The sequence below is a fragment of the Homo sapiens genome, chromosome 6, assembly GCF_000001405.40.
Source record: "Homo sapiens chromosome 6, GRCh38.p14 Primary Assembly".
NCBI classification, from domain to species: domain Eukaryota; kingdom Metazoa; phylum Chordata; class Mammalia; order Primates; family Hominidae; genus Homo; species Homo sapiens.
In genome coordinates this window covers 61,639,885-61,654,184 of record NC_000006.12, presented here as the reverse complement: position 1 = coordinate 61,654,184, position 14,300 = coordinate 61,639,885, and the positions used below count along the sequence as shown (strand labels likewise).

The window sequence follows — 14,300 nt, the reverse complement described above, 5'->3', positions numbered from 1 at the left end:
TGTTAGCGCCCTTTCTAGTAACTCACAAAGAATGATAGGGTCTCCAGATCTATTTCCACATATGAGAATAGCAGGACTGAAGTATGGACCTGTTAGTTATTATCATTCTAAAATTCTATTCCTTATGCTTTTTTTTTGAGGAAGGAAATTTGGGCCACAAAGCAACGTAGTATCTTAAAAGCTTAAATTAATCCTGTAAATATATTCTTAATCCAAAGCTGCCAAAGTAGGGTTGTGTGTTCCATGAATTTGTTAAACTTATTTTGGACTTTGAATGTTGAAACATTGCGATCTTGCTGAGTTTCTAAAAATAGTATTTTATAAATTTTTTCACCATTTTTCTGTATACCCGTCCTATTACACTGCTCCTTCTTCCCCAAATGATCTTTTTTATTTTACTTTCTTTTGCTATGTTATAAATTCTAAGCCAAGTAACTATCCTTGCAGTAGTATTCTCTGAACTCTCCCAGTCACTGTCTGGGAAGCATTGATTTGTAGCCTCAATTTGTGCCTCCATAGAGCGTTTTATGAAATGGTATATTTACCTCTCTCTCTCTCTCTCTCTCTCTCTGTCTCTCAGTTTCACATTAGACTTGAAGTTCCATAAAGGAAGGACTGTTTTATCTTTGCATTCCTAGTGTCCACTAACTTCCTTGGCACCTAGAAATCATTCAAATAGTATTTGTTAAGCTCATTCTGAACAACACTGAAAGTTCCAAGGCCTCTCATGCTGGACAAATTTTAGTATTAGGATTTTCAAATAGAAGGTTTTTATTTTAAAATATTTTTAGAACTAGGAATATTTACTAACAAACATGTAACAGACTTGTTATTTCAGAAGATGCCTAGTGTTTATACCCTGTCCACAGAAGTTTTATCTTTGTTGAATATCATTGATACATAAGGTAAACAGGCACTTCAGAGGAACAGAGGCACTTTAACAAGTTTAGAACAAAGCTTTTCAACTCCTTATCTTGTTTACCTTATTTTTCACTAGAAATTGCATCCTCTCTCTGTGTTTGTCTTCCTAAATTTAAGCTGTTATTTTCAGTGTCCATCTAAATATATTCTCACTGACTCCACCATCAATTAAGTAAATGCCATGTCTCTAACTCATTTCCTTTAAAAAGGATGAGCTCAGCCATGCTCTGTTTATTCCATTTATAATAGCTCTCTTTGCACATTTTGGTCCATTGCCTCCGGTGTCATTTCTCATGCATCTGTTTATTCTACCCAATTAGACTCAGAGCTTTGCAGTCAAAGGTACTTTTTCTTTTATATCTCCTCACGGCATGTTCACAACAGAGGCTTGTAAACTAAATGTCTTCTAGATTTTACCAATCTGTGCTGGTATGTTTAGTTCCTTCAAAATGAGCACACTGATGTGCTCACTCTGTGCCCATGGCTACATCCATGGGCATTTTGGTCACCCACACAGGACACAGCTCTGGGTGGTTCCTTTATTCCAGACCAGGGATTCTGGGAGCTAGGCTATGAAGCACAGGGAGTTCAAGTCCCCTTTGCCACTTTTCTTTGAATCAAGTAATATTCCTAACTTGGCTCTTTCCAGGGACTCACTGTTGCCCTTCTAGTAGTTCCCATCATTAATAATTTGTTATCTGTCAAATAACCTGTTCATTTCCTTCATAGCACTTGTGATAATTTGTAACTATATACACATGTAAAACATGTATAGAATAAGCACATAAAGTGAATAAGTTTAAATTATATATAAATATGTAAAATATATAGTAAATATAAAGTAGATGCATGTATATGTATAAGTAATACATACAAAAATCACATCATACCTATGAGCGTACATCTGTGTTTGTTTCATGTTTTCATCTTCTTTTTTTCTCCACAGATTTTCTTCATCTCAACTCACCTCACCACTACGGATCCAAGCCTGACACAGAGCCTAACAGAAGTAGGTATCATAAATATTTGTTAAATAAATAAAAGGTGAACGAATGTATCTACGACAGTGAAGATTTCTTTCCAATTATTAATTATATCAGATCTTAGGTTTTACTGAACAAAAAGCATAGAGAGGAGAGAATTAGGAACAGGGAAAAACAAACGAGCCAATTTTCTTCTCTCCACTCCAAAATTTCATAGGTTTATAACATGTCTTATCCTAGAAAGGAGTTTCCAGATGTCTCAGTTTGTTTTTACCTGGAGAAGGGAAAGGGGAAGTAAAGAAAATCTCTGCTGTCCACTGTTGGTGCTACCCACAAATGAAATCTATGAATATTACAATTAAAAAGCTAATGACTTCCAAGTAGTATAGCAAAAAAGCTAATTGGGCATTCCTATATCTACTGTTACAGCCTCCCACTTCTTTACCAGTACAATCTGGATATCTTTAGAACATACTTATAGCATATGCACTTATTCCTCCTAAATAAAAAATTCTGATGACTAAACAAGAGTGGAACATAATTACAGGAGTAAGTATTGACTGTGGTTATTAATGACAAGGATTGTGAGCCAGAAGGCTTGGTTTCAAGTCCTGGTTCCACAATTTTCTAGCTGTGAGATTGTGGACAAGATATGTAATCTTACTTTGCCTCTGTTTTTTCATTTGTAAAATGAACATCATAATAATTCAGGCCAAGCAGACCTAATCCAAAGTCCAAAATTCTACAAAATCTGAAACTTTTTGAGCACCATATAATGCCACAAGAGGAAAATTTCACACCTGACCTCATGTGACTAGTTGCAGTCAAAATGTAGGTGCAAAACACATAGTTTATTCAGCATCCCCAAGAGGAAAATAAAATTACTTTCAGGCTATGTATATAAGATGTACATAAAACATAAATAAATTTCATGTTTAGACTTGGGTTCCATCCCCAGGATATCTCATTATGTAGCAAGTATCTATTATAGCAAATATTCCAAAATCTAAAAAAAATTGAAATCCAAAACATCTCTATTCCCATGCATTTCAAATAAGGAATGCTCACTCTGTCCCTAAGTCATAGGCTTTGTTTTAGCATTAAACCAGTTAGAGCACCTAAAGCCCTTAGAATAATGTCTAGCACATAGGAAACACTCAATAAATGTTTATCAATCATATTCTTATTATTTGTATTATTATTTCTGTCACCATCTCCACATTAAGACAGCTTTACTTCTAATACAGAATGGTTGAATTTCCATTAAGACTAAGCAAGGAAAACAGAGAGAATGTACACATTGGAAATAGTAAGAAGGAAAAGGGAACATAGCCAGAGATGCCTCAGAAATGTAAAACAGCATGGTAGAAAGTCAGGATTCTCAGATATTTTTATGTCCTGTTAATAAAGTTTTTCTTTCTAATTCTTACCCCCAATAGAAAACTTTTCCTCATACATCTTCTAGACACCTAATGATGATAATTACTCTTATTTTATCTTCTTTGGTCTACAAAATTTGGAGAACAACTGATTACAATGTACTTTTTAGTACCCCCAGCCTTGCTAAGGAATTGTAATTGGTTTAACTCTATGATTTTCAAATGTGTTCATTCAAGGGCTATTCATAGTCCCCATAGTTGTTTAGATCCTTGGCCTAATTAAAAAAAAAAAAGGCATTAAGTTTTTCATGTATTTGACTGTACAGCATAAGATAATAACATCGTTAACCCTTAAAAAGAGAGACCTTTCCCATCTGACTGTGCTTATTCACTTATTTTTATGAATTTATGTTTGTATTTCAATTAACAAATATTTAGTTAGATTCTACTGTGTGCCAGCACTGCACTAGACACCTGATTAAAAAAAAAAAACATTTTTTTAAAAAAAGCAGTGAACAAGGCATGACAGACAAAGAATCTGCTTGCATGAAGCCTAGAGAGAGTTTGGAGCAATAAACAAAACACATAATATTTAAGTTACAAACTGAAATCATTGTTATGCCAGAAATAAATGGAAAGCAGGAGAGAAAATAATGGGGATGAGAGGTGGGGAGGTTGAGGGAAGTGTTAGGCAAATTACATAAGGCATCTCTGAGGAAGTGACATTTAAGCAACACCTGAAGGAAGAAAAGGAACCAGTCACTCAAATTGCTGGAGCTGCATAATGCAGGCAGAAAGAATAGCAGTGCAGAGGCCCTGCTATGGAAAAGAACATGCATGAGTCATTGAGCCTGTAGCTGGACACTGGTGAGCAACTGGGGCTTGGAGGGAGAATTACAGGTCTGAAGATGCAGGGTTTTTCTAATTTGCATATTCTCAGGGTGGAACAGGGCACTGTTACAAGGTACGTAAGCAAAGAGCTAGCATGATCTCTACATGTTTCAAAAGATAACCCTGGTTGCTGTAAGAAGAACCTATGGAAAGGAGATATGACCAAAATAAGAAGACAATCTAGCAGAACATTAGAGTAATCCAAACAAGAGATATATGTAGCTTAGCCTTGAGTGTTGGTTATGTAGCTATCAATAACTAGAGATGAGAGACAATTAGGAGGTAGAAATGAAAGAATTTTGTGATGGTTTGGATTGGAAATGGAGGAATTATGTATGATCCTTAAGTTTCTGCCTCAAGTCTTACATGATAGTTCTATTTACTAAGAAAGAAAAATTGTTGAAGTACCAGTTCTATCTTCATTAGGTTAATTTCATGATATTTATGTGACACCCCAGTGGAGATGATAAATAGGCATTTGATTATACTGATTTATACTGATGTGAAGCTGTTATATAAATGAGCCAAAGATGGCCTCTGCGTATTGGCCCCCAGGTTGTTACTTCCTCAATATAGGCTGACACCCACTAGCCCAAAAGCCCACCAGGGGATTAAATCAAATGTTTACACATGCATTTGTTTTTAAAATAGGCTACATAAACATATTTTTAGCCATTTAAAATCTGGCTGTTTTGCATATCCCACAAAACTTCACCCCACATCTGCTAGCAGTAGCTAAATCCCATGGGTCATAAAGACCCAAGCCACTACTGCCTTTTGGAGCTCTTTGACACAGACTCCCCACCATGCCACTGAGCAACATTGCCTTAACACATAAGCCCCCTCTCTCCTAGGAGTTCCCTTGCACTCCTTCCCTTCTGAGTGGTGACCCTGACCCTTAGCTACTAGACAGACTCCTGCTGTGAAGGACTTCCTCCACGTGAGAACCTGTCAAAGCAGCCCCCGGTAAAGCTACTGCCACCTTTATTTTTTTCCCCTTGATCAACCACAAAATCCCCTACAAAAGCTCAGAAAGATATACCCTGGAGATATCTATCTGGATGGAAATAATTAGCATAGGGATGGAAATACTTAGCATAGAGATGAAATTAAGGCCAAAAGAATCAATGATACTACTTCAGGAAGAGTGCCTAAAAATAAGGTAGGAGGGCCGCACTAAATCTGACGTGTTATAAAATTTGAGATCCAGTAAAAAGGAAAAATATACAAATATTACCACTTGATCAATTTCTATTTATATTTTACTCAGGCCACACGTTGGCTTCTTTGAGATAAAACTGTCTCCTTCCCTCCCCAGTCAGGATGGTTAGAATGACCGCCTTGTTTTCTGTTTCTATGACTTTTCTATATAATTGCTTTGCCACATATTATTGAAAGTCTCTGATTGTCTGTCTTCATATGGTGCTGTCCTTGGAGGCAGAACGTGTGTTCATCTCTAAATTCGAGGAATCTAGCACAGCACCTGACACACAGGGCAAAATAAATATTTTCTGAATGAATGGGCAATCTGAACATATTAGAATAGCTGTGGAAAAGGCTCATGATGATAATGTAGTGATAGAGGACTTCAAATGACTGGGGAAGGTTAGGATACTTTTCATTTTCATGATGATGGTATTACTATCCATTCTTTCTTCTCAATGTGAAGTTAGATTCTAGCCTTATCTAAACAAAGACATTAGGATATTGAACTCACATGTATTGTACCACAGGAATAATATAGGGAGAAAATGGAATAATATAAAAATATCTCAAGCAATTAGCAAGGCACCTAGTTCCATAAAAACTCAAGATGGCATAATTGAGGGCTAGTTTAAATTTTATCTTATAATATTATTATATTAATTTGGTTTTGATTTCTTAAATGTAAAATAAAAGAAAAAATAGGATTTTAGGTCAACTTATATAAGATCTGAATCTGAGATGATTTTCTATTCCTAATTAGAACCCCCCTTTGTGATATCAGTGCTGTTATTTTTTTACTTTTATTTAAGGGAGCAAGGTTGGTCCAAGCATGTTATGACTTAGGTTATTGCTTCCACCTATTTTTTACCAAGATACTTGTTCATAGTTCATAATTTGGCCATTGAAAACCAAAACTAACTAATATTGTGAAGTCTGTGACCTCTACATCATGGCATTTACTGATTAAGGTAGAATAAGAGTTAATAAGTACTTCATAGCAAAAATAAATAGCTGGAATGCATAAAAGATCATGGAGGCTAATTGAGTGATACAAACATACCCACAAAAGATCTCTGGAAAAATGATGATACAATATCCTCTACTTCTTTAGCTATGAAACAAAGTTGGTTGCAATACATGTCATACATTAAATGAAAACTTTTTGTATAAAATATAATCAGCAATTTTTTGAATATTGATTATGAGAAGCGCCTGATTTCAGAATTTAGAAACTAAGTGCATCTTATAATCTATTTTTTAATCCTGTGCATCACAACTAATAACTGAAGACGATTCATATCTATGGCAGGGAGGAATGGTTAACAAACATTGGAGTTCTGTATCATGTTATATAATTATCTACAATTATAGATAATTATAGATAATTACACATTAGCTTACATAAACACCATGTTTCTTTGACTTGTCGATATCTGTTTTTGAAAATACTAAGGTTGATCCCTCCTTTGAAATATAAAACAAGTAATATTATAAACCTAAGTATGAAAACCCTCACACACTAAGTTGTTATTATTGCTCTCAGTAAACATATTTTCAGAATGATTTACCATATATAAAATACTTTCACCATCATTTTTCATTGATCTTATTTTATCCTCAGACTCATAAGAGTAAAGGTTGTAAAGACGATAAAGATCAATTGCATATTTAAATTTTTACCATATGGGCCAGGCACAGTGGCTCACACCTGTCATCCCAGCACTTTGGGAGGCCGAGGCGGGTGGATCACCTGAGGTCAGGAGTTCAAGACCACTCTGGCCAATATGGTGAAACCCCATCTCTATAAACATACAAAAATTAGCCGGGCATGGTGGTGGGTGCCTGTAATCCCAACTACTTGGGAAGCTGAGAAGGGAGAATTACTTGAACCCCGGAGGAGGAGGTTGCAGTGAGCCAAGATCACGCCACTGCACTCCAGCCTGGGCGACTGAGTGAGACTCAGTCTCAAAAAATAAATAAATAAATAAAATTGTAGCATATATATTCATTTTCTGCTTGTTCTTTGCTAATAAAAAGTCAGACACAAAAGAGCTCAAATATATAATAAACTTTTCTGGTTGCATACATAGGTGAGTGAAATATGTTTTTCTGGGAGGTAAAGATGATATGGGAACTGGGGAACTCCAAGGACTTTTCTGAACATATGTGAAAGCCAAATTACAGAGGCTATGTTCTTCACAACTTTATAAGTTCAAGAAACCAGGATAATCATTTTCTTAATAATGGACAAATGAATAACATGTATTGACATGTGTCTCCATAATTACCAAATGCTATTTTTTTGCACACCCCAAATAATGATGTTTCTGTATTTTTTTAACTGACAAAAAGCAACACAGAAGAAAAGAAAGTAGTTGTCCTTGGAGGAAAAGACATATACTGTGAAATATGGCCCTGAAAGCATCTGCCTACTCCTCTGGATCTGGGAGCCAAGGGATCTGGACACAAACTGTGTTAAGAGACTTGTTACTCTGGGAGCTCAGTGTTCATTGTAGAAAACAATACCTCTGTTTATAGCAGTGTGTGCTCATTTACATAACATTCCTATAACTAAAAACTGCCAGAAAGAAAGATTGCCATTATGTGGAAGTATTAATGTTTTGTAGCTGAGCCACAGGAATTGTCCAAGATCACACCATAGAGTGATTGAACGCAGTTCTAAGTACTTTATATGGACTGACTCGTTTAATCCTTTAAAACCTTATGAATAGATATTAGGTTATCTTGATTTTACAAATAAAAGGACTGAGACTCAGAGATTAAATAACTTGCCACAGTTATACAACTGGTAAATGATAAGATGGATACAAGCACAGGAAACTGTTCAAGGAACAAAAATATATGTGTTTACTAAAAGGAATATGAGTGATGCCGCCATACCACCCTCCATACCACCATCACAATCATCAGCCTAACTGTTGTGGTTCTACTTAAGGTAGATATTGAGGATGTTATTAAAGGTTATATTTTTAAAAAGTGATTCATTATCAAAGGTATTGGAAACATGATGTTAAAGATTTCTTTCTTGACAAATGTCTCTAAGCCTTTAATGTGTTATTATGCTCCTTAGGTCTTTCAGAGATGTATCTGACCAACACATTTAACTACCAATTTCTTCTCCACCAACTTCCACACACAGTTACATCTTTTGGGGATAACATTCAAGGAAACACTTTGAAAATATTAACCTGAAATATCCATAGGTTATCCATCTGCTATTTCAAAGCTCCAAGGACTACTCAAATACCTTTTTTTTTTTATGGCTGCCAAAGTATTTTGTTGTTGTTGTTTTATGTTTTTGTTTTTAAATTTTTTTTTTTAGGTTCAAGTGTACATGTCCAGGTTTCTTATGTAGGTACATTCATCTCACAAGAGTTTGTTGTACAGATTTTTTTTAAATCACTCAGGTGCTAAGCCTAGTACCCAATAGTTAGTTTTCTGATCCTCTTCCTTCTCCCAACCCCCACCCTCTGATAGACCCTAATGTGTGCTTTTCCCATTCTATGTGTCCATATGTTCTCATTATTTAGCTACCACTTATAAGTGAGAACATGTGATATTTCATTTTCTGTTTCTGCATTAGTTTGCTAAGTATGGTGGCCTCCAGTTCCATCCATGTTCCTTCATAGGACAGGATCTCATTTTTTATGGCTGCATAGTATTCCATGATGTATATGTTCCACATTTTCTTTATTCAATTTTTCATTGATGGGCATTTAGGTTGATTCCATGTCTTTGCTATTGTGAATAGTGCTGCAAAGAATGTTGGCATGCATGTGTCTTTATGGTAGAATAATTTTTATTCTTTTGAGTATATACCCAGTAATGAGATTGCTGGGTTGAATAGTAATTCTGTTTTTAGCTCTTCAAGGAATCACCACACTGCTTCACTGCTTTCCACAGTGGTTGAACTAATTTACACTCCCACAAGTAGTATATAAGTATTCCCTTTTCTCCACAACCTTGCCAGCACCTGTTATTTTTTGACTTTTTAATAATAGCCATCCTGACTAGTATAAGATGGTATCTCTTTATTTTTTTGATTTGCACTTCTCTAATGATTAGTGATACTGAGCTTTTCTTCATATGCTTGTTGGCCACATGTATGTCTTCTTTAGAAAAGTGTCTGTTCATGTCTTTTGCCTACTTTTTAAAGGGGTTGTTTTTGTTTCTTGTATATTTGCTCAAAGTTCCTTGTAATTTCTGGATATTAGACCTTTGTCAGAGCACAATTTGTAAATAAATACTTTCTCCCATTCTGTAGGTTGTGTTTACTCTGTTGATAGTTTCTTTTGCTGTACAGAAGCTCTTAAGTTTAATTAGATTCCATTTGTCAATTCTTGCTTTTATTACTATTGCTTTTAGGGTCTTTTTCATGAAATGTTTGCCAATTTCTATGTCCACAATGATATTGCCTAAGTTGTCTTCCAGGGATTTTATAATTCAGGGTTTTACATTTAAGTCTTTAATCCATTGTTACTTGATTATTTTTAATATGGTGTAAGAAAGGGGTCCAGTTTCAATCATCTGCATAAGGCTAGCCAGTTATCCCAGCACCATTTTTGAATCAGGAGTCCTTTCCCCATTGCTTGTTTTTGTTGGCTTTGTCAAAGAATAGATGGTTGTAGGTGTGTGGCCTTATTTCTGGTCTCTCTATTCTGTGCCATTGGTCTATGTGTCTGCTTTCATACCAGAACCATGCTGTTTTGGTTACTATAGCCCTATAGTATAGTTTGAAGTCAAGTAACTTGATGCCCCCAGCTTTGTTCTTTTTGCTTATGATTGCCTTGGCTATTTGGGCTCTATTTTGGTTCCATATAAATTTTAAAATAATGTTACTAGTTGTGTGAAGAATGTCATTGGTAGTTTGATAGGAATAGCATTGAATCTGTAAATTGCTTTTGGCAGTATGACCATTTTAATGATATTGATTCTTCCTATCCATGAGCATGGAATGTGTTTTCATTTGTTTGTGTCATTTCTGATTTCTTTGAGCAGTGTTTTGTAATTCTCATTGCAGAGATCTTTCACCTTCCTAGTGGGCTGTATTCCTAGGTATTTTATTCTTTTTGTGGCTATTATGAATGGGATTGTGTTCTTGATTTGGCTTTGGCATGGCTGCTCTTAGGGTGTATAGGAATTGATTTTTGTACATTGATTTCATGTCCTGAAACTTTGCTGAAGTTGTTTTTCAGATCAAGGAGATTTGGGGCTGAAGTTATAGGGCTTTCTGGAGGTAGAATTATGTTGTCTGCAAACAAGGATAGTTTGACTTCCTCTCCTATTTGGATGCCCTTTGTTTCTTTCTCTTGCCTGATTGCTCTGGCCAGGGTTTCCAATACTGTGTTGAATAGGAGTGGTGAGAGAGTGCATCCTTGTCTTATGCCTGTTTTCAAAGGGAATGCTTCCAGCTTTTGCCCATTCTGTATGATGTCAGCTGTGGTTTGTCATAGATGGCTCTTGTTATTCTGAGGCATATTCATTCAATACCCAGTTTATTGAGAGTTTTTAACATGAAACCTTGCTAAATTTTATCATAAAAAATTTCCTTTCTCATTCCCAGAAGAAATTTTTCATATCAAATCTTTTTGAAACTTTTATATACAGAATTTGCTTGATATTTCTGATATAAGCTATAACTAGGGAAATAAAAATATACAGTGTGTGTATATGTATATACATATCAGAACATACATATCAGAATATATATGTATACATGCACACATATCAGTATTTACACACTCAAGCTCTCTTTTAAGTGGCCACCTTTGTGAGCCATGCATCTCCCAAATAATTTTTAAATGTCATTTTTGGCACTGGATGTAAAAACCACATTTTAAGTATTTTCACAATGGTTTTATCCTTTCAGGGTGGAAAACATTTCTTTAATGAACCAAAACTATTTGGGACAAGTAGGAATTTAGACTATAAAGTAATAAAATGTATTTTCTTATGAGACGTATATTGATTCTTAGAACAGTTCCAAAAGTGGATTAGAACATATTTGTTGGAACATGATGGCATTATTTATGTAGGCACATAGGCTCATGACATGCCTGCTTTGTGGAATTAAATGCAACTTATAATTTTTATTTAAAATTTATTATTCTTTTTTTTTTTTTTGATGTGGAGTCTCACTCTGTCACCCAGGCTGGAGTACATTGGTGTGATTTCAGCTCACTGCAACCTCTGCTCCCAGGCTCAAGCCATCCTCCCACCTCAGCCTCCCCAGTAGCTGGGACCACAGGCACACTCCACCATGCCCGGCTAACCTTTTTTTTTTTTTTTAATATAGAAACAGAGTTTCAGCTTGTTGCCCAGGCTTGTCTTGAACTCCTGGGCTCAAGCAATCCGCCTGCCTTGGACTCCAAAAGTGCTGGGATTATAGGTGTGAGCCACAGCGCCTGGCCTAAAAATTATTCTTAGTACATTAAGTGAAGAGTTATGTATTTCAGTGCATTCAAGTAAATGATTTAAATATGTCAAATTATCAGGTATAAGACAAAGGTAATAGGTGATATAATGGCAAATAAAAAAGTGAATGACCTATCTTCCAGGTATTTAAGGTACAAATAAAATATAAAAAATAAAAAATTTCACTATACGAAACAAAGAAAACAGAAATTTTTCTGTTACAGAAGTAGGGAATAGGAACTGGGATTATTTTCTGTTTTAGTTTGAGGTGTCCCTCATGGTATGTCATCAGAACTCTAGAGCTCCGTAGACATGTTAATAGTATAATTAGAAAGGGAATCTCAGGCGGCATACAAACAAGCTACCTCATCTCTCCAAATCTCAGTTCCCACATCTCTAAAATTGTAGAATTGAGAGGACTAAATGTGACAAAACAAAGAATGTACTTAATCCAATTTCCAGCACTGCCCTAATTGAATGATAATAATTTATCTCATAACTAGAATTTAAATATCATGATGTTTCAATTTGTGAAAGCATGGCTTGGCCTCTATCTCTATCTTTGCATAGAACTTTTAATATTCTTTCTATCAGCCCTTTAACCAATGTCTACTAAACATATTGTAAGTACAGACCACTATGCCAGAGACTAGGGATACAAAGATGAAACAGATCAGTTGTGTTTTCAAAGAGCTTATGGTTGACCAGAGAAATGAAGCTCATAGCATGTTATAATACCAGTGAGAGAAATAGCTAAGAAAGATACACATGAAAAGCTATAGATTCTTACAGAGTAAGAGGCTAATTCTGACAAGGTTACATGCTAAGGGATGATGAAATGAAGAATTGGAGGATACCTTGAGTGGAAATGTTTAAAAAGAGATGCTTTAATAGGAAGAAAGAATGGAGACCCAAAAGTACAGAGTATTTTCAGGGACCTGCAATTAGTTCAGTTGGTTTACAGTTTCAAGTTGCTTAAAGAAAGTCAAGATTAGAGTGTAGACTTCAGACAGATTTGTGAGGTCTGAAATACTGAGTGAACAGAAATGTGCTTTATTTAATAGGCAATGGTGAGCCAGTGAAAGCTTTTGAATATGAGAGTGGCATGCTAACTGCTGTATTTTAGGAAGCCTAACCTAAAAGCACCCCATAGTGTGTGTTGCAGAGAGAAAATATTGGAAGCAAGAGACTGATACAGAACTTACTGAAGTAATCCATAGGAAAATGGAGGTGCATCTCTGACAATGGAGGGAAGAGCTTAATGGTGATTGAAAACTGGGAAGGCAGAGCACTTCTTTGGAGGTTGTGTTCCCATAGCATACACAAGAATATAACTTAGATTTTATGCTTTTGTGGGGGTGGTTTTGAGCATACTAACAGATAACCAAGTAGAGGTTTCAGATCAATTGAAGGAGTAATAAAGAGGAGTTTGTCTAAGAAAGTAGCAACAAAACTGAAAGACTTTGTAAGTCTGAAGTTGAAATCACCAATTCATCTGTTTTCTGCCTTTGAATGCCATCTTTCTTTACTGTTTGCTACTTGGCCACGTCCAAAATTTCTTACCTGATCTCTGGTATGTCTATTCAAGAAAGGTTTTCATCACATCGTTTTTCTTCTGTGACATTGAGGATGAATGGATCCAGTTCAGCTAGCAAAGAAAAAGAAGTGCTCTGTCTTTTACAGGGCTGTTGGTCATTCTCAGGATAAGAGAGTAAATCCTTTTGGGTCAGCAACTATCTATTGTGTTGAATCCAACCTTCTTAAGCCAGACAGTTATGAGTAACAATGATGGGTCCTTAGAGAACAGTGAAAATCCAGACTCACTAAGCATTCAATAGCCTTGTGTGGTATACAAAAGAGTAGGACATTAAGCGACCAGTGGAATGTTTTTGTATTTGAATTGGTCTTAGGTGTTGGGTTACACACTGTGAAATGAAAATTTATTCAAGTCATAGAATCTCTTATAGTCAGTGTCTTAAATAACTGAATAATTACTTTCCTACAATATGAATGACTGAAAGATTATTCTACGGCATTTTACTTTATGTATATTTAAACTTTTTATGGAAATATTTAGACCTACACTAAACTACAGAGGTATAGTATAATGTATACCATGTACCCTTTACTCTGCTGCAATAATTATCAACATTATGGCAAATGCTGCCAAGTTTTTTTTATTATTCCTCATACTTTTTATCTAATATTTTAAAGCAAATATCAAACTTGTTATTTGAAAATTATTCAGTATGCATCTCTAACTGATAATTATTTTGACATAATGAGCATGCCTTTCTCATACCACAGATTCTTAGTATCATCCATTACGCATTTCACCAATTGTGCCAAAAATGCCCATTTACAGTTAGTTTGTTCAAATCAAAATCCAAACAAGGTCCACACATCACTTTTGGTTACTATGTCTGTACATATTATGGTTTGATTATTTGGTTATTATATCTATAACAGTCCCCTCTTCTTTTTT

General features: G+C 35.3%; 1 protein-coding gene across 4 annotated transcripts in view; it reads left to right on the top strand.

Moving 5' to 3' along the window:
* Positions 1-14,300, top strand: part of KHDRBS2 (KH RNA binding domain containing, signal transduction associated 2) — a 743,556-nt gene that overhangs the window by 632,041 nt on the left and 97,215 nt on the right. For all 4 annotated transcript variants that reach the window (NR_146870.2, NR_146873.3, NR_146874.3 and 1 more), the window contains one exon: positions 1,868-1,930. The gene's annotated coding sequence lies outside the window, so the exon portion shown is untranslated. The remainder of the gene's footprint in view (positions 1-1,867; positions 1,931-14,300) is intronic.